The sequence below is a fragment of the Homo sapiens genome, chromosome 4 (assembly GCF_000001405.40).
Source record: "Homo sapiens chromosome 4, GRCh38.p14 Primary Assembly".
In the NCBI taxonomy this organism is placed as follows: domain Eukaryota; kingdom Metazoa; phylum Chordata; class Mammalia; order Primates; family Hominidae; genus Homo; species Homo sapiens.
In genome coordinates this window covers 150071132-150093260 of record NC_000004.12, presented here as the reverse complement: position 1 = coordinate 150093260, position 22129 = coordinate 150071132, and the positions used below count along the sequence as shown (strand labels likewise).

Genomic DNA, 22129 nt, shown 5'->3' with positions numbered 1-22129 from the left:
CTTTAACTTCCTTCAATGTTTTATAGTTTCCAGTGTAAGAGCTTTCACCTCCTTAATTTTCCTGAGTATTTAATTTTGTAATGCTATCATACATGAAATTTTCTTAATTTCCTTATTAGTTTGTTATTAGTGTATACAAACACAACTGATTTGTGTATGATGATTTTGTATCCTAAAGGTTTACTGAATGTATTAGTTTAACAATTTTTGTGTGGTCCTCAGGGTTTTCTACATATAAGATCATGTCTTCTGCAAACAGATAATTGTGCTTCTTCCTTTCTGATTTAGGTACCTTTTATTTCTTTTTCTTGCCAAGTTGTTCTTGCTAAGACTTCCAGTACTAGGTTGAATGAAGTGGCAAGAGTGGGCATCCTTGCCTTGTTCTTGATCTTAGAGAAAAGCTTTTCTACTGTTAACTATGAGATTGGCTGTGGGCTTTTCATATATGGTCTTTATTATTTTGAGGTAAATTCCTTCTATACTTAGTTTATTGAGTGTTTTCATCATGAAAACATGTTGAATTTTATCAAACGCTTTTTCTGCATTCTGCATCTATTAAGATTGTGTGATCTTTATCCTTTAATATTCAAAAAGTATAAGAAATAGGACAAAAACCCCAAAACAGAGATTTTTAAAAAGAGAAAGGATCTGAATAGACATTTCAAAAAAGACATACAAATGGCCAAGTATATGAAAAGATGCTCAACATCAATAATTATCATGGAAATGCACATCAAAACCACAATAGATGTCACCTCACTCCTGTTAGGATGAATGGGTTTTTTTAAAAAAGGTATTAGAGAAGATGTAGAGATACTGGAACTCTAGTACACTGTTGGTGGGAATGTAAAAGGTTATGGCTGCTATGGAAACAGTGTGAAAGTTCCTCAAAAAATTAAAAATAAAACTTTCATATGATCTAGCAATTGTACTTTGGGGTATATATCCAGAAGAATTGATATAAGCATCCCAAAAAGATACTGGCACTCTGATGCTCATTACACCATAATTCACAATAGCTAAGATATGAAAACAACCTGAATGCCCAGTGATGGATGAACTGATAAGGAAAATGTGGTATATACATACAATGAGATATTATTCAGTCTTTAAAAATGAAGCAAATTCTGCCATATGCAACAACATGGACAAACCTGGGGGACATTATGTTAAATGAAATAAGCCACAGAAGAACAAATGTAGCATGGCTTCACTTACATAGGTTATGTAAAAAGTCAAATTCATAAAAACAGAGACTAGAATAGTGTTTGCCAGGGGGTGAGGGGAAGAGAAAATGGGAGGCTGCTGCTCAATGAGTACGAAGTTCCAGTTATGAAGATGAGAAAGTTCTGGAGATCGGCTGTACAACACTGTGCCTATTAGTTAATACTACCATACGTTGCACTTAAATTTGAAAGGGCAGATCTCATGTTAAGTGTTCCTAACACAAATACACACACACACACACACACACACACACACACACACACATAAATGTTCCTTTTAGGACAAAGAACTACATGGAATCTTATGTAGGTGGAAATTTTAACAATAGCAGTTTTAGGCTACTTTTCTATCAGTTACTATAAAGTCTCTCATACACCTCTGTTATAGTATGTCCAGTAACTGCCTAACACAACTAACTAGTTTGTAATTACAAACTGTCTTGACATTTGTGGCAGATATTGAGTTGTATAAAATTTGGACACTGAGACTACGCCTAACTCTAGGAGTAGAAGCAAGCACTGAACTTAATGATAAAAAGGAAAACTTATTTACAAATCTAAAGTGCAAGGACTCTTCAAACTTAGAGAAAAGGATACACACACACATACTTAAATATGGTAACACAGAAAAAGGAAGACAAAAAGGAAAGAAAAGGAAAGACACTTCAGGTCTAACATCAGTAAAATCTTAGGAACCTAGAATTTTTCCTAACTTCGGAAATTAAGAAAAACATTGCTTCCAAAAGAATGTAACCAAGGAAAAGATATTCGAGCATATTTGCCTCTACAAGATGATTCGATACCCTTCATCAAGCGCAGCGTTTGTGTGAGACCGGGTGGATTATAATTTTAAGGTCCATTTTAAATACATCACAGATGAGTTCCCACATCCAGCTAGCTAAGAAAAAATACAGAGTAAGAAAAAGTAAGACTGATTTATTATTCCGTCATGGCAAACAACTTAATTGAGTTTCCTGGCCAAACCGCACAGAATGTAAACTTAAAGGAATTGGCAGACTAACACAAAGTGCACTGCTCTGGCCCAGATGCTGTTCCCACTCCATACTCATTTGCCTTGTCTCTGAACCATTACTTACATATTTGCTCAATGAATACAACACCTATTTCTGCAGAGCGGGGCTGGGGACACAAAATAAGATCACCTCAAAGACCATTACTTTTTCAATACACCTGCAGGCAAGTGACTGAACCAAATCATCTCCTAAAGTCACATCCAGTTGTATGGTCTGTGATACCTTCTACCGAGAAGGGGGTACAAAATCTGCTTTGACCCTACGAATATCTATGAAGAAATAGGTATGTCCACAAATCCATGTTTTAGCATTGAAATCTGGGAGGAGTTTAACTTAAGGCCAAATAAATTAGCTAAATGTAAAAACGAAAACCCACCCAGTAACCAAAAAGCTTTGTAGCTTACCCACTGAGGAAGAAATCGTATCTAATCTCCTGGGTAGGATGGAACCAGCAGATCAGATCTGTGATCTGGTTTTTTTGCTCCTCATACATGGGGCCAAGAATATCCCAAAATCTACAGGAGCTCACTATGGGAATTTTCATTGTGCGTTTTTTTGTTTTGTTTTGTTTTGTTTTTATCATTATTTTGAGATGGAGTTTTGATCTTGTTGCCCAGGCTGGAGTGGAGTGTAATGGCGCGATCTTGGATCACCACAACCTCTGCCTCCCAGGTTCAAGAGATTCTCCTGCCTCAGCCTCCCGAGTAGCTGGGATTACAGTCGTGCGCCACCACGCTCAGCTAATTTTTGTATTTTTAGTAGAGACGGGGTTTCTCCATGTTGGTCAGGCTGGTCTCAAACTCCCAACCTCAGGTGATCCGCCTGCCTCGGCCTCCCAAAGTGCTGGGATTACAGGCATGAGCCACCGTGCCCAGCCCATAGGGCGTTTATTTTGATGATAAAACTTTAAATGTTTATGTAATCCTATTCTGGAACATCTGAACAACTACTTCTAAGTTAACAGTCTTTTGGCTTCAACTACTCTAACTATGCCAGGAATCAACAAGGAAAAAGGGAAGTGGACTTCATACGTATAAAAGACATGTTCACAGCAAGTTAAGGCGAGAGGACAAAATTTTGCTCTACAGGAATACTCATTAGCTGTGCAAAACTGACTCATTACACGGCATTCTGACATACAGCATACCTAACTCAGCACTCAGTGCCACGGTCACACTGGGAACACCAATTTAGTTTGAGCAGAGTATCTCTAGCTTTATATTGCTATTTTGCATTTTTACTGGTAATGCACTTTTGTTGGTATTTACACTGTCAGTGTGTTTGGGTTGTATCACTATGTAAAACCTATATACATAAGCATACCTAATTTTATATTTACAAACATTTAAGTGACAATGTAACTAATGTAATTGAAGTAATTAAGGCAATACTTGGCTTCTGCAATTTGGATGCTGGATTTTTATATTGTTTTTAATCTTAAATGGCTACCATTGTTAAAGTTTGAGAAACAATGCAACCTTAAGGATACTGAGACAGAGAAACCTTCACATTGAAACGTGGCCACCTAATATTTGTAAATAAACAGGGCATAGTACATATAGGGTCAGTCCTTCAACTGGTGCATTTAAATAGAGGCAAAACTTTCCTCAAAAGTTTCCTCAGCTTCTGAAGATCTTTGCTGAACACTCTCCTCCTTAATCTCTCATTCCTTTCTCCACTGTGCCTTTATGTTAATCTTGCTGTGAGTAAGAGGAAAGCTTAGCCCTCAGTTTTAAGCAAGTGATTGATAATGATGGTAACTCAAAAGTTTCAGTGCAAGTGATAAAGAATTCAGAAACCAGATGTTTATCCAAAAAAGAGGTGATGATGTTTAGAGGAAGAGAGAGAAGGGGAAATACAGGTTGGGTATTCCTTATCCAAAATGCTTGGACCAGAAAGGTTTCAGATTTCAGATTTTGGAATATCTGCATTACCCTATGAGTATCATGCAAGTATTATTGATGTTTTCAACAGTATCTTTACACCACAGAACGGAGAATAAGCAACAAAGCAAAACAGTGAGTAATGTACATAGGTCTTAACCCCACGTAGAGCATTGTGGAGAACCTGCCATTGGTGCAGCCGGCCTACGCATGTGCCATTTTATTACTCCTTGTGAGTGTGCTTTCGTGGGGGAACTGGGCATGCACAGAAAATATTTATCAGAGCTGAAAGGGGCTGGAATGATCTTTTTTTCCCCTTGGGGAGGCTGAATAAACTACAGGTTGTGCACCTGCATTTTGACTGCAACCTGTCACATGAGGTTAAGTATGGAATTTTCCATTTGTGGTATCACATTAGTACTCAAAAAGTTTCAGATTTTCAAGCATTTTGGATTTTCAGATGAGGGACACTCAATCAGTAGTAGAGGAAAGCATGACCATCATCTCAAAACATCTGAAGGGTGTAATGGCTTTCACCTGTAATCCCAGCTAACCGGAGACTGAGGCGAGAGGACTGCTAGAGGCCAGGAGGCCAGCCTGGGCAACAAAGACTCTGTCTCTAGTTATAAAATGTAAAAAGAATTTAAAAAGAAAAAAGAAAAAAATCTGAAGGCTGTCATATATAAGCAGAAAAAAAAAGATATATATACGAAAAAAAAAAAGCTGAGGACCACCACCATTTATCAAGCAGCCACTGCATGCTAGGACTCTGCTAAATGTTTAAATACATTGTAAAATTTAGGTAGAAACTTCCAGAAACTGGCTTTGATCACTAAACTAATAAGAGACAAGTTTACACTGTACTATTTCTCAAGTTCTCCCACACAGGCTTAATGAACAACAATATAACCAGTAATAAGTTTCTAGAACGCCTTTTTTCTTGATTCTTCAGCAGATAAGGCAAAATACTATTAAGTAAAGAGACCAAGATGATGAGCAAGGACATCAGGGGAGAGACTCTCAATGACTGCCTTTGAGAAATAACTGCATCTGTTGGGGCTCAGAAAACAATACCCCAAAATGAAGGCCCAGTAGCATCCTCAGAGGCAAACGTTTTTCTCTGATCTTCTGCCGCCCTCCTGGCTGCTAGTCCCATTCACCTCCAAAGCTAGCCATAAAAACTAGAATCCCTCTTCTCCAAGGAAGGTCATAGAAACCCAAACTCTTTTCCCCCAAAGCCAGCCATAAAATCTAAAAATATTACTCTAATTTCCCCTTCACTTTGTATGTAAAAACTGGCTATAAAGAAATGATTTGACCTACCTGGTTTGACTGTAGGTCACAAGACCCCCATTCCAGAGAGGGTCCTGCCCCACACCCAGAAGAAAGGAATGTTGCTCACAGAGGCCAAGAAGAATCTAGACAGACAGGCCTTGCTGGGTGTCCAAACTCAGTCTATTAACATTAAATCATGCCCTTTTGTCCAATCATATTTCTACAGGGCTGTCCATACTTTGTTGAATTTAGGCATAAAAATGGACAACTTCCCCTGTATCTTTGGGTCTTAATTCGGATGGCTCCTGTGTATGCATGTTAAATAAATTTGCGTGCCTTTTCTTCTATTAATCTGTCTCATCTCAGTGATTTTCAGCAAACCTCCTTGGCCTCCTCACATTGCTATTTCAAAAGTTAACAAAGTAATCTGAAGTTTTAAAAACATATAGTGAAGGAAGAGATCAATGAAAATATTTTAAAACATCTATTGTGAACATTTTGCATTTTGGTTGCAAGTAACTATAACAAATAAACAAAAGGTAACAGAGTAGGTCAAAATTGCAGATTATTTTAGTCACTTAGTTTGAAATGTCAGTAAATGTTATAGTGTAATGAAAAGTACTTAGGGCGACCTCACCAAACCGGTATTTTACCATTCCTTTAGTCTATAAGGAAAAGCTTCTGACAAATTACAATATAATGACTTCTCCTTTAGGCTGTTGAAAACACGGCAAATAGGACAAAATATCCCGGGGATTAGGATTGAATTATAACATGTTTTAAGGAATAAAAGAATATTCATTTAAGCTCTTGATTTTATTTCTGACTCACAAAATTAAAAAATTAAGATTGTGTTAAAATTAAGCATGAAAAAATTAGCAAAAACAATTGCTTAAAATGAGAATGCTAAAGATGAACACAACTAAGCCTTAGCTATGGCAGAGAACTCCTGTAGACACTGAAAATATTAGCGGGCTTAGAATAATCCTGGGATTTAAACACATAACGAGAAATAAATATGAAAGAATCTGGTTGTGGGCCGGGCACGGTGGTTCACGCCTGTAATCCCAGCACTTTGGGAGGCTGAAGCAGGCAGATCACGAGGTCAGGAGATCGAGACCATCCTGGCTAACACGGTGAAAACCCATCTCTACTAAAAATACAAAAAATTAGCAGGGCGTGGTGGTGGGCGCCTGTAGTCCCAGCTACTCGGTAGGCTGAGGCAGGAGAATGGCGTGAACCCGGGAGGCGGAGCTTGCAGTCAGCCGAGATTGCGCCACTGCACTCCAGCCTGGCAGACAGAGTGAGACTCAGTCTCAAAAAAAAAAAAAAAAAATAAAAAGAATCTGGTTGTGATAGCTGTCCAAAGAGAAAACTCAAGTCAGACATCTCAATCTCAGATACTAGTGAAATTGATAACTTCTTGGGACATAAATATACTGCATCATTTTTCTTGAAGAAAAATATATTAAAAAATTGAAACACAAAGGGGCAAGGAATATTTGCCTTTAACATGAACTTATGTTACCTCTGTAAATCTGGCTAACTGTCCAACTGGCTATCTTAATAAATAAAGGTTTTTTAAAGCATCTACATCCACCTATACCCAACTATTAAAACATCTTAAATAGGGCACAAAAGTAAAATTAATTAAAAAAACACCACGTGCCAGAAGCATTTGTTTCATGGGATAAAAGGATAAACAAGACAATTGTGGTCCCACCCCCTGTTGGGTTTGTAATTTTCCCTTTCACGAGGATGGTCTATGGAAAAGATCCTCCTGTATGTTACTGAGGTGTTTTAAGAACTCCATCTAAATCTGGGTAACTACATCTGATCAAGTACCCAGCCAACTTTCAAAGAAAGACATGGAGCCAGATAGAGCCAAAATCATTTCTCTTTCCCACCCCTAGAAGCATTTCCCAAGATCACTGAACTTTAGAGGCGAAAGAAGACTGTATTAGTCCGTTCAAGTCGCTATAACAAAATACAAAAAACAGAGTGACTTATAAACAGAAATCAATTTCTCACAGTTCTGGAGGTGAGGACATCAAAGATCAAGGTGCTAACAGATATGGTGTGTAGTGAGGGCTCTTGGTTCACTCATGGTGACTTCTCACTGCATCCTCACATGCTAGAAGGGGCAAAACAAGCTCTCTGGGGCCTCTTTGGGCACTAATCCAGCCTATGAAGTCTCTGCCTTTATGATTTATTCACCTCCTGCTGTGGGTTGAACACATCTCCCAAGCTTCAGGTGTTGGAAATTTAATTGCCATTGTAACAATATTAACAAGTGAGGCCTTGAAGAGGTGATTAGATCATGAGGGCACCACCCTCAAGAATGGATTAAAGCTGTTATTGTGGGAGTGGGTTAGTTATAAAAGGAGGGAATTTAGCCCCATTTCCTCTCTATATATCCTACGTTTGCTTTCACCTTCCACCCTTCCACCATGGGATGACCCTCAACAGATGCCAGTGCCGTGCCTTGGACTTTCTAGCTTCTAGAACTAGAAAATAAAATAAATTTTCTTTATAACTTACCTAGTCTGTGGTATTCTGTTATAGCAAGAGAAAATGAACCAAGACACCTCCCAAAGACCCCACAAACAGAATGGACTCCATTTCCTCTCAGGTGGTAGAATGTAGTAGTAGAATGTAGTAGTTAAGAACACAGAGTTTCAGAAGCCAGGGAGAAAGGGCTCAAGTGCCAGCTCTACCTCTTACATTGGTACAATGCAGCAATTTCTCTACCATCTCTGAGCCTCAGCTTCCCCATCTGTAAAATGGGGATGACAATGCAGCCATATTTCAGAAGGTATTACAAGGGTTAGATGAAATATGTAAAGTACCTCACACAATGACTGCTCATAAAACATCTAGTAAATGGTAGCAATGCAGAGAAGAAAAGCATCTCTAATCCTTACGGTAATGGTTTACTTTACGAGTAGAAGACATAAAAACACAGATGCAGTGGTAGCATGGGCAGGAAGGGATACAGAAAAAAGACCTAGCCAGGCGGTACACACCCCGCAGCAACTCCTCTCGGCCTCACGAGCAATGAAGAAAGCAGTTAGATGATCACTGCCCAAGAGAATCTGGTTTCCTTTATTTCATATTACAGGACCATAAAAATATCCTTTTCCATAGTTTAAAAACCCATTAGATATTAATCTTGTCTTATAACTTCCAGAGTATCACTGTGTCATACTCTAATCTCATAAATGCTCTCTCACATATCCCCTTTCCTTCCCCAACCTTTTAGGATTTATTCTTTAAATGAAAATTTTCCTCTTACCTCGGGAAAGAGCTTCTTATGCAGCTGTATTATAGCACATCTTATTTTCCTTGTTTTTAAGGAAATGAGATGGGACAACCAGATTTATAGAAGGGGATATTATGGAAGAGTCATTCCCTCCAAAATGGTTAGCACAGAATTTCACCCAAAATTATACGTTTATCTAACATGTAATCCAATTTTCCAAAAACATATATTTTCACAAATATCTAGGAATCCCATTAAAGCTTAACTCATACAAAACTTCCCTAGACAACTAAGGGACTTAGAGGTAAAATCATTGTCTGAGTTATTTAATCAATGAATTTACTGTATTTAAGATCCCTGACCTCAGGCTTCTCTCAGTTGAGTGCAAAAACAGATCCAATATATCATGAGACTACAAAGCTAAGTGTTATAATAGAAGTAAAGAAAAATGCTGTAAGCAGAGGAAAGTTATAAACTTGACCTCAGGCCTCGGCTCCAATGTCTGTTCCTCTAGGAAGCCCTCCACATCACCCCGGCCAATATGGCCATCCTGCCCCATGTCATCACCACTTCATTTACAGCACTTTAGCTGAAGCCATCTTGTTTGTATGTTTACTGTCTCTCTCCCAGGAGAATGTGCATTTTTTGAAGGAAGAGACCATAGGCATTTGACCATGTCTAGGACATAGTATGCCCTCAACTAACCATTTGAGACCAACTGCCCAGAGAAGTGGGAAGAGACTTCATAGGTGCTATTTGAAGTGGGCCTTGAAGAATCCAGGGGTTTCACAGGTAAAGAACGTTTTGCAGCCCTGAAATTCAATATTAACTTTCCAAGTCCAATCACCATGCATGACTTTAGTGTGCATCATTTTCGACTCCTATGTGCAAATACCTTGTAACTCATGAGTTTATTTCCTTCTTACCATAATAAGTTCCACAGTTTCTATTATTATAAAATTTATTTTTCAGGAAAAAACAACTAAGTATAATCTAGGTTCTTATGGAAATTCATTTTTACTTAAAAATTCTCAGAAACGTATTTTGGTTTATTTAACACTTTCAAAGAACTGACCTAACCAAACAGATGCGGTAGATAGGTTTGGTAGGAGGACCTCAAACTTCATGGGCTTGATTTCTTTACAATCTTATTTTTCTTACATGTCCCTGTTAACTTCATGAGGGAATGAAAGTATCATTATCAAAATAACCAAAACTCTCTCATATGCCAAAAAACAATCAGCTTATTGTTTATGAAGGGATAAAAGGTAGAAATAACAAAATGACATTTTATTTTGGAATGAGAGAGGCAGACACAGGTAGCTCTTAATGCCTTTGACTCTTGGCAAGCACTTCATCAGAGATATACACCCCATTCTGTGATTGTTATCTGGACATGTGCAGCCTCATCGATTTTCTGGAAGATGGGTTCTGGCTAGGGAATGGCAGCCCAAGCCATCATATGCTCCAACAATAACCCCTCAGATAATTAACGGGTACATACACATTTTTAAACCAGAAGAGACCTAACTTAGGTGGTCTGCCAACTTCTCATCCTAGAGAAAAGGATGCCAAGGCCAGGGAAGTGAGGTGAAATTTTTCTCAAATCTAGTCAGTAGAACTCAGGAATCCTGACTTGGTCAGGCACTTTTTCTACTGTCCTTGGTTATATCTCTTTAGGTCATCAAAACTTTATAAATATTTCAAAATGCTCAGAAGGAGAGAAGACCAAACGCTCAGAAGGAGAGAAGACACACGGAACAGAACTAAGACTAGGAATTCTGAATCAGTCCCTAATAAGAAAGCTAAAGAACAAGTCATCTGGACATTCTCTGTTGGTTATTACAGATACTGAGCTCAGCAGGCTCACAGCTTAAGACAGCTCAACTAATTTTTCCAATATTGATTAAGAGCCACAGTCCTGCCGGAAGAGGTCCCCCAACTAGTTTTAAAGAATAAACAGGATTACAGGACTGCACAGCATCAACTCAAACTTAATCCAGCAAGGATGGATAAATCAATAAATTGAAGGTGCTTGCTGGTTTAGTGTAGTGCTGGAGGAGTGCCAGCTCACACTAGAACAGCTTTTAGTCTCCAGAGACTCTCAAGGTCAAGGGCAGAAGAAAAAATAATTTGGGCCATGCAAATTTCTTTTGTCATCTGAGTTCAATGAGATTGGGGCTCTGAATGAATGTTCATATCCTACTGTTTTGAGTCATCACTTTCTATTCTTCACTCAAGACATTTCAGAAAAAAACATACCTCTTAAACTACAAGTTTCATGGGATCGAAGAAGTAGAGCCTAGTTGAACATAATGTTGTAAAATACTACCTGAGAGAGCTTTATTAAAAATAATCAACCAAAACGAAATAAAGCAGTCAATTTTGACAATGTGGTGAATATATTACAGACTTATTTTTACTAATGCAAATAACTTCACAGATAGCTGCTTAGTTCTCCTACATGAAAAATCTGAGCACACAATTTTAATTAAAAGTTGAAACTACTTACATTCTGGAATGATTGACAGTAAGCATTCGTGATTCTTTTTCTTTTTTTCTTTTCTTTTTTTTTTTTTTTTTGAGACAGAGTCTTGCTCCATCGCCCAGGCTGGAGTGCAGTGGTGTGATCTTGGCTCACTGCAACCTCCGCCTCCTGGGTTCAAGCAATTCTCCTGTCTCAGCCTCCTGAGTAGCTGGGACTGCAGGCGCCTGCCGCCACACCCGGCTAATTTTTTTTTTTTTTTTTTAAGTAGAGATGGGGTTTCACCTTGTTTGTCAGGCTGGTCTCGAACTCCTGACCTCAGGTGATCCACCCACCTCAGTCTCCCAAAGTGCTGAGATTACAGACGTGAACTATTGTACCTATATTTTCTTTAAAAAAAAAATTGCATTGCTATGGAGTATTCTACTAATTTGGGGGAAAACTGAAGAATTAAACAAAGACCCATTGTCAGAGAGAGTTCCATATGACAAAAAAAGTGTCCAAGTTTTCTTCTTTTGCAGTAATTTTATTGTATTAAAAACTTCTTCAAAGAAGTGGGCAAAGTCATAAAAAAAATTTTGGCTGTGCAACTATTTGTTATATTATTTATCATATTTTGGTATGATTTGGACTCCATAGATAATGTTTTTTCCAAATCCCCATCCACTAAAAATCAGTGAATGATTTGAAGGAAATTTGTTAAGTCAATTTGTAGTTGAAACTACAGTTGCAGAAGTAGACCCAGTGGACATGCATGCGGTGGGCGGTAAAAGACGCAATCTATACTAAGTACTCCTATTAATGGACATGCATAATGTCCATCTTATCATCTCTCCTATGAGATTCATGTTTACGTTATGTCAATTTTATGTAGTAAATCCACTGTTAAAATTTCTTTAGAGAAGGATATTAACATTGTTGACTCTTAAGAAACCATACCAGGAACAGTAGTATCCCAATGGCATGTTGAGTAACAAGTGCTTAAGCAAACAGGCATTGCCTTGATCCTGCAAATCTGATCTTGGGTCAGTCAAACAACTGGTTACTCTGTTTTAAAATAGCTAGGCAAATATTGCTTTTAAGTGTTTAACATGATTAAGAAAAGCAACAAGGCCCTTTGAACATTGTATCTTCCTTTTTTACTTATACTCCTCCAGCTATCCCCTTACCTCCTCAAGAAGCCCTTAAAACCAAAACACACAACTGACAGAATGGGTGAAGTCACAAGCACATACATATGTAGACTGAAGAGACAATTTAATTTTGGCTGGGTCGCGTTCTAGGCAGGGCAGCAAAAACTTCTGACTAAATAGACAAACTCAACGACCTTTAGTTTTCCTCCATGTGGCTCCATTAGCTCAGCAGAGGTGAATCGTAGACGAGAAAGTATATGCTGCAGGCACTGTGAGGCAAGGCATGCTGCCTAAGTTTCCTCATCTATAAAATGGGGATAATGCCTTCAGGACAGAAAAGCATGCTGAGATAATATAAGAAAAACATCTGGCTTGATGTTCAGCTTCCTCTCCCTGCCAAGCTATTGCTATGACTACATGGAATGTGCCATTTGCATTAAGAAAGATGCACAAGAGCGGACTGTATGTAAACACGCAGTCAGCACATACCTGGGTTCTGCCTGGTCTTTCTGGATGTTATTTAGAACTGGAAACAGGTTCTTAACCACTGATAATGCCTTTTCTACCTGAAAAGGATGAGGCATACGTATTGCAGGAATTCAAGGATGACCCAACATCCAGCCAAGCAGTCTCTTTGACCGAGGCATGGTTGACACAGCAGAATTACTAATTTTTAATAAGTCCCCACTGCTGAATCCAATGGCCTCTATCATTCTAATTAGGTACTCTTATTAGAGGATAAGGCTGGAGAGATTGACCTTGATTTACCTTTTTTCCAACCAAATGTGGAAAACCCTTTAGCACGGTGATTGTTAACCAGGGTCCCACATTAGAATCACCTGGGGGGGGGGCTTTTGAGACTCCAGACGCCTAACCCACACCCCAAACCCAACCAATTTAATCAGGATATCTGGGGGTTGGGGGATCAGGGTCCCATATTTTTCGAAGTCCCCAGTGTGATCCAAGATGAAGCCAAGGTTGAGACCTGCTGTCTAGGATCATCCCTCTTCACCTCAAGTAACTTCTGCTGCAAGGCAAACTAGGAAAGCCAACCTAGAGCATTTCACAACCACAGCTTCTGACAGCAGTCACAACAGGACCCCGAATACTGGAACATGACAGGAGCCTGCACCAGGGTCCACACCGAGGGTCCAACAGAGCTTATTAGTAGGGGATTACCCAGCTCCCCATGGGAGAACCATTTTCTCAAACAGTTTGCACTTCAATACAAATAAGTTCAACAATCTTAGGAGATGCCACCAGTGCCTAAATTGGCCTGACCATCAGGAAATTTTTTCCTTCTTTAAGAGACAAACCTCTTGGGAAGGAAAGTCAGTGTGTATGTGGGCACCCCACCGGCCCCCACCCCCAGCCAATCTCTAGAGAAGCAGACAGAAGCATCAATTCCCGTGCGGCTTGGAAAGCACCCCGCGGGCTCCCCGCTGCGCCGGCTCACGCCCACTGCACCTGCCGGCGCTCCGCCGCACCTGCCGTGCGGCGCCCTCCCCTCCTACCTTCCAGCAGCTCGTCCAGGCTGGTGACCTTCCGGCTGCCGTCGATGGTGTAGATAGTGCGGACACCCTGGGGCAGGTTCACGTTGTCCGACAGGGAGCGGGTGAGCTCTATGAGGAGCGCATCGAAGGACCGGAAGCGGTCGCTGGAGATGGCAAACACCAGGCCCTTGAAGTAGCGGTCCCCGTTCCGGTAGAAGCGCGCCTTCTTGGCCTTCTTCTCCGAGCTGAGGGCCTGCAGGGTCCGCGTGCGGTAGAAGCTGCAGTGGGCACTGTGCGCCGGACTGGGGATGAGCCCGTTCCCCTTGGGGCCCGAGCTGCTGCTGCCCCCGGAGGAGCTGGGGGCCCCTCTCCGCGACCCCGGCCGCGGCCTTTTGTCCCGTTCCTCAAAGTGCTCCAGCTCGATACTCCTGGTGCTGGCCATCGCGGCTGCTCCGAGGGCGTCCGCAAAAAGACGTTCCGGGCCGACTAAGGGTGCGAGCGCCGGTGCAGGGACGTCTGACTGCGAGGGCCCTTAACGCGCCGGGACACCTGGCTCTGGCATCCCGCCCTCTCCGCGCAGGTGGGGCCGAGGAGCCGCGGAGGAGCCGACCCGCCCGCGCCCTCAGCTAAAAGTGTCCGCAGCGCCGAGCTGCCCAGGTCATTGTCCAGTGCGACTTGCTCCGTGCCTCCCGCCTGCCGGGGAGCCCCACGCCCCCGCAAGCGCCTCCTCCACCCGGCCACGCCTCACAAGTCCCGCTCGGGAGCCGACCGGGAGAGGCAAAGTTGGGCCGCCCGAGGCTCGCGCTGGGCCCGCGGGCGCCCACAAAGCTCGGGCGTCTGCCGAGCGCTCCCGGGAGCGCCGAGGGGAGGAAGGAAGGAAGGGTGGGGCGGGGCGCGGAGCGTGGGAGAGGCCCCCGGGGGAGTCGCGCGGGCCCAGGCCCGGGGTGCAGCGCCGCCGCCTCGGCCGCGCCCGGATCCCGCCCGCCGGGCAGCGCGCGCCGTTCGGGGCTGAGAGGGCCGTGTCTGGCCCCTTCCTTCCCTGGAGCGCGGCCCTAGCGGGAAATAATGCAGCCCGCCTCCCACGCAGCGGTCAGGCCCGGCCCACTGGCAAGCATCCGCGCTCTGGCCTCCCTCCGCCGCCGACAGGCTGTCAGCGCTGGAGGAGGCTTCCCGGCCCCGGGGATGCCAAACCGCGGAGAAGGGGAGGAGGGGGCGGAGGAGGGGGCGGAGGAGGGGGCCGAGCGCCGGCGCGGGAGGAGCAGCTCCTGCGGGTCCCGGGCAGCCCCGCCCGCCTGACGGCTCCTGCCCGGCGCCGCGCGTTAATGGGCGCAGCCGCGACGCGCGCTCCTCCGCCTGGGAAACGTAACCGCGCAGGCCAAAAACTACAAAGGAAGGAGATTCAAGGGCAGGGAGCACATCCCCAGCCAGCATCCCAGTGAGGACCCCAGGCCAAACTACCGCAGAAATCCGAAGCCCAGCATTGACTTGGGGCACACCATTCATTTTTTTTAAAAAAGATTTGTTGCTTTATTAGAAAATCCTTTGAGAAAACAGCCTCCACTGTTTCCATTGCAGATTCGCTAATATGGTACGTTCAGTAACTTTGAATGAATGATGAGAAGTTATTGGGTGGTAGAGGGGGTTATGTAATCAACGAATATTTATCGAGAGCGTACCATGTGTCAGGCATTGTTTCTGTCACTGGGATGCCCTAACAAAGGAAAGAGAGACTCTGCACCCACTCCCCCCGCCCCGCATATTTAATGTTGTCAATTAAAGCTTCTTACCTAAGAGGCCTATCATTTGTGAGCACCCATCATAGTGGAAATCTTAATGCCGTAGTGTCTATTCAACAATAAAAACATCTTTTCCAAGACTTAAGAGAAATACTAGTTACTTGCATTTTGTTATTAGGAAAAATAAAGCTCAAATATGTTTGATCCCAATTTGGCACGTGAAACCTTAGAACATTCAACACCTGGTTTTCTGAGCAGCCCTAGACAGCAATCCAAACTGACCTTTCAGGAAGAAAGGCATAGTTGCTTTTTTTCGGGTTGAACTGAGTCCTGGAAGAGCATGAATAAAAGAAGGTAGAAGCACATGCAACGGTCTAGCATCTGTGAAGTTGGTGCGCCCCACCAAACACACGCACACACACGCATACACACCCTTCATGGCAGCTCCAGAAAGGTCTCCTGCTCGGTGCACAATACTACTCCTAAGGCAGTTCTGGGCATACACCTGGGCATACCTAACTTCCTGCGGGGTTGGGGCATGCTAGGAAGTCAGAGCTGATCTGAGGCTTCAATGTAGTTTTTCTAGAGGAAAATCCTGCAGCATCATTAGGTCCACCACCTTAAAAGGCCTCAACCTAGATCAGTTAAATCAGAATTTCTGGAGACGGGCTTCTCCAACAGTATTTTTTTAAAAGTACCCCTAAGGTATATCCAGAGTTTCCAACCACAGGCTGTAACACCAGGAATCAAATAAATCAGTGCTTCTTCTCAAACTTTAATATATTTACATGTCATAGGGGAATCTCGTTAAAATGCAGATTGCTATTCTGTAGCTCTGGGGTGGAGTTTGAGATTCTGCATTTCTGATGAGCCCCTGGGTAATGCCAATGCTGCTGGTCTTGGTACAAGACTTTGAGAAACAAGAAACTAAATTGCAAATTTATTGAGATAAGTTTCCATCTAAGTACCAGTAACTCCACAGAGCCCATCAACTTGCCTTAAGATGGCCATGTTCATTTGTATCACTGTTAGTATTTCTTAGGGGGAAAAAGACTTTGTAAACTATTGCTGTAGAAACAAATTATCCTAAACTTAATGATTTACAACAATAAACATGCATAATCTCAGCATTTTTGGCAGATCGGAAATCTGGGAGCAGTTTACCTCAAAGCCTCATGTGATTGCTGTCAAGATGTTGACAGGGGTCACAGCCATCTAAAGGCTTGACTGGGTCAAGAAGATCCATTTCCAAGACAGCCCATTCACATGAATGGTAAGGAGGCCTCAGTTCCTTGTCATGAGTACCTTTCCATAGAGTTGCTTAAGTGTCACCATGACTTGTCGGTTGGCTTCCTCTAGAGCAGGGGTGTCCAATCTTTTGGCTTCCCTGGGGCACATTGGAAGAAGAATTGTCTTGGGCCACACAGGAAATACACTAACATTAATGATGGCTGATGAGCTAAAAAAAAAAAAAAAATCACAAAATCTCATAATATTTTAAGAAAGTTTACGAATTTGCATTGGGCTGCATTCATAACTGTCCTGGGCTGTGTACAGTCCACAGGCCATGGGTTGGACAAGCTTGCTCTAGAGAAAGCATCCAAGAGAGCACAAGGTGGAAGCCACAATGTGTGTTATGATATAGCCTTGGAAGTCATACACTGTTATTCCCACAATATCCTGTAGGTTACACAAGGCAGCCCTGTTTGATGTGGGAGGAGACTACACTAGGGTGTGACTAGGAGTCAGCAATTATTGGGGTCATCTTGCAGACTGGTACCACGGGTTTCAATCTTTCAATCTTTAGAACACTAACATGCACTTCCTCACTCAAAGATCCTTGATAAGAGATTTGGCCCTTCTTAAATAGTGAGTACAATTATACAATATGCCAGTATTTTTAACTCAAGGTGGATTAAAGACTTAAATGTAAAACCCCAAACCATAAAAACCCTAGAAGAAAACCTAGGCAATATCATTCAGGACATAGGGATGAGTGAGGACTTCATGGTGAAAACACCAAAAGCAATTGCGACAAACGCCAAAATTGACAAATGGAAATAAAGAGCTTCTGCACAGCAAAAGAAACTATCACCAAAGTAAACAGTCAACCTACAGAATGGGAGAAAATTTTTGCAGTCTACCCATCAGACAAAGGTCTAATATCCAGAATTTACAAGGAACTTAAACAAATTTACAAGGAAAGAAACAACCCCATCAAAAAGTGGGCAAAGGATATAAACAGACATTTTTCAAAAGAAGACATTTACATAGCTAACAGACATATGAAAAAAAGCTCAACATCGCTGATCATCAGAGAAATGCAAATCAAAACCTCAATGAGATATCATTTCATGGCAGTCAAAATGGTAATTATTAAAAAGTCAAGAAACAGTAGATGCTGGCGAGGCTGTGGAGAAATAGGAACACTTTTACACTGTTGGTGGGAATGTAAATTAGTTCAACCATTGTGGAAGACAATATGGCAATTCCTTAAGGATCTAGAACCAGAAATACTATTTGACCCAGCAACCCCATTACTGGGTATATACCCAAAGGAATATGAATCATTCTGCTATAAAGACACACACACACACGTATGTTTACTGCAGCACTGTTTACAATAGCAAAGTCATGGAACCAACCCAAATGCCCATCAGTGATAGACTGCATAAAGAAAATGTGGCACATGCACGCCATGGAATACTATGCAGCCATAAAAAAGAATAAGATCATGTCCTTTGCAGGGATATGGATGAAACTGGAAGCCATCATCCTCAGCAAACTAACACAGGGACAGAAAACCAAATGCCCCATGTTCTCACTCATAAGTAGAAGTTGAACAATGAGAACACATGGACACAGGGAGGGGAACAACACACACCAAGGCCTGTTGGAGGGTGGGGTACAAGGGGAGGGAACTTAGAGGACAGGTCAATAAGTACAGCAAACCACCTTGGAACACGTATACATGTATACCTTTGCACATTCTGCACATGTATCCTGGAATTTAAAGTAAAATTTAAAAAAATAAAAATATGCCAGTATTTTAACATTATTCCCTAACATTATATCCTTAAGTTAAAGAAAGGTTACTGCTTTTCAACAGGGGTAGGGGGAAAAGAGAAAGTATTTCCAAAGCTGTTACTTAGTTAAAAAATGTTTTTTTGATCCTACTCTCCACACTTGTTTTCTTGAAGAATCTTATTTGTGATCCTCTTATAAGAATTGAGATGCAATCACTTTTCATAAGGTATCTATGAAAAAATATGATATAAAGACCCAGTTGGTCAACATTTGAAGATTTGTTGAGGTAGGAAAAAATTAGTTTCAGTATTCAAATTCTAATGCAAACAAAATTTGTAGGTTCTAGGTAGGCAACTATTACTTAACTTGGCTTACTTCATGATATTCAATTTATAGAACCGAAGCAGATTTTTTTCCTTTCATGCAGTTGCAGAATTTGCAGAGTAAGACATTTTAATGGGCATTTTCTTTGTTGAGATACTCATTTTTTTCTAACGAAGAAAGGCCATCTGATTATTAATCATTGGTCCTTCCAGAGATGGTCTAATTCTCTTGGTGGTTACAAGATCCACCAACTCTGTCTGCCACACCCTGATTTAAGGAGCTTCTTTAGGAAGAGCTGGCCACAGATGCCTCCTCACTATCTGGAAGCCCACTTTAACCTTAGATGTCTCTTGGTTGTAAAAAGTGTTGTTAGAAAAACCCTCTTTTTAACTCCCCTTAACCTAACACTTACTTGAATAAAAACTTTTGTGCCAAGTATTTTTAAAAAGGCTTCATTTTTCTGCTAAAGGCCATTGGAGAATTTCAGCCCAAAAACTCTTCTCCCCTTTTTGTGTAACTAGAAATGACCCCTTTTGCTTTTTATTTATAATACTTATAAATCATGGAATATCTAGTGGATGTGAAAATTTTGTTGGCAGTATGCAAGAAGGGTCTTCTACAAACCACTTGGGGCAGAGAAACTCAACTGGGCATAAAGGAAAAGAAATTGTTCTCTTTGTTCTCTACACTTCTCTTTGTATCACACACCTGTGATACAATTTTAGAGCTGCTTTTAGCCAGGTAGTAATTCCCTCTCCTGCTTACTCCCTCAACCCCACTCCACCTTGACTAAGAAATACAATGCAAATTTTTATCTAGCATAATTTGTTTAAATGAGACTTTATTAAATATTTCATTATGGGTCTTTACATAAGAAACTTGCCTTGAACATTTCCTGGTGTTTGCCTCATGCTGCTTTATTCCTCAAATGCTATGGTTAGTCTTCACTTTTGGCAAGAGACTTCTGTTTTTAAAGGCAGTTTTCCAGTGACTCCATTACTTATTACATAAAGGATGCCTCTGAACCTTTCAGATTGCACTGTGCTGAGACTTTTTGCTGTCTCATGTTTTCATTCCTGTTCACTATGTGCCAAGAATTTCTCCCAGAAGTAAAAAATGATGAAATAACTAAACTATTTTAAGTGAGAGCACCCGGTGACTATAGACTTAAATTTTTGAAACTAAGCATGATTCTCATTTCAATCTTAATAATTATAAGTTCTAGTGCTTTCTGTTAAGCTTTAATGGGGAAGGGTATAAGGTAAGGCAGCTCAAAAGCAGACTCTCCATCTCTACCCCATAATCTGTACCTAGACTGGAAAAAAGGCTCAAACTGTTTTCTCAATAGTTCTTCTGCCTTTGGAGCTTCGTTGTCCTTTTCACCCCTGATTCTTGTAGCACTTTACATAGATATTAATGATTTCTTCACAAATAAGTGAGGGAATAATTGAAACTACCTTTTCAGGTTCAAAAAATTTGAATGTACCTGTTTGGTTAAGTCTTTCAGAAAATCTAAATTTTGGCTTGTGGCTCATGCCTGTAGCCCCAACACTTTGGGAGGCTGAGGCGGGAGGATCACTTGGGCCCAGGAGTTCAAGACCAACCTGGGCAACATAGGAAGATTCCCATCTCTACAAAATATTAAAAAAAAAAAAATTAGCCCGGCGCAGTGGTGCGTGCCTATAGTCCCAGCTACTGCAGAGGGTGAGGTGGGAGAATTGCATAAGCTCAGGAGGTCAAGGCTGCAGCAAGCTGTGATTGTGCAGCTGCACTGCAGCCTGGGTGACAGAGGGATGAGACTCTGTTCTTGAAAAAAAAAATTGTAAGTTTAATTTTTAAATGAAAATATCAGAAGAATTGAAGAAAATAATCAAATATGCATGCTTTAAATATATATGGCACACAACTACTGTTTTTTTCCATGAGAAAATTCTGATTCTTTCTATGGTAAACTTCCATAAAGTGTCTAGGACAAAGACTCCATACATATAATGTAAATTTATATGTCATGTAAATTTTATATATTCAAAATTATATTTTTATTTTGTCATTTGCCAGTTCAGATGCAACAATTATTGATGAAAAATAACAACTTTAAAATCATATAGCAACTTTTTTCTTAGGAATTTGAATTTGTTCCTCTTAAATCTTCGTAAGAAGAAAATCTGGGCAACTAGTAGAATTCATACTTTCCAGATGAGGAAATCTAGGCATAAAAGTGAAAGATCATGAAAAGTACCACAGTACTCTCATTTTGTTTCTGTAGGATGAAATTTCCCAAACCCAATATAAAATTTAATCTTTAAATCTAGGTTTTTTGCTTCATTTAAAATTTTAAAAAATTATTTTTGTTAAAATTGATCATGATTTTAGTGGTTTTCTCCTCTCGGTAGTACCTTCAATGTTTATACAAATACTGAATGTGACAAACTATGTTCATGTCATTCTACATATCAGATTAAAACAATGATGGTCAAGAGTACTTAAAGGATAATAAATATTTTATAATGATTAATAAGTTGTTATGACCTAGTTAAGGAAACAGATTATAGACAAGGAAATAAGAAAGATTAAGCAGCAGAGATAGAAATTGCCTCCAGGGTATGCTAACTCCAGAAAATGTTCACTTCAAGCTTTCAAAATTCATTAATCACAAGAATGTCTGTCTCTTCAGGAATTATAGCTTAAAATTAATGATTCTTTAATTTACAGTAAGTTTATATTGCAAATTATCTGGTTATTTTAGGACAAACATTCTGTATACCCTACACACACATATTTGAAATAGTCAAATGTTAAAATATATATATCTTATTAATGGGAATAAGGATCTACTCAGACTTTAGTCAACACTCCTTAGCAAATCTGTACTCATTTGGCTATGTATTTAGTTTTTTTTTTTGTTTTTTAGTTTTTCATTGGTACTTCCCAGAGTCCTATCACCCTATCTGAAATAACTAATTGATCATGATTTACCGTTTGTATGAAAGATACAGCAGAAACACTGTGTGTGTGAATATATATATGTATCTGAGATTAAACACTTAAGGCAAAGAGATATATGCATGTGATTACCTGATTGTTTTTATCTTAATGTAACTGATATGTTCATCTTTAATAACTTGGTTATGATATAAAGCTACATTTCATTTTAGTATTAAAATTAATTATAATTATTATTTATTATTATTACTATAATAATAATATTTTTCTCCTTGGGCATTCTCCCTTTAGTGATAAGCCCATGAACC

At 40.6% G+C, this 22129-nt stretch overlaps 1 protein-coding gene across 13 annotated transcripts in view; it reads right to left on the bottom strand.

The window, feature by feature from the left end:
* DCLK2 (doublecortin like kinase 2) overlaps positions 1–14816 on the bottom strand; it is a 178994-nt gene extending 164178 nt beyond the window's left edge. For all 13 annotated transcript variants that reach the window (XR_007096380.1, NR_036614.2, XM_017007832.3 and 10 more), the window contains exon 1: positions 13813–14816. Coding sequence is in view for 11 of the 13 variants with exons in the window: in XM_017007832.3 (XP_016863321.1) it covers positions 13813–14233 (421 nt within the window). In the remaining 2 variants the exon portion in view is untranslated. The remainder of the gene's footprint in view (positions 1–13812) is intronic.
* Between the last annotated feature and the right edge of the window lie 7313 nt (positions 14817–22129).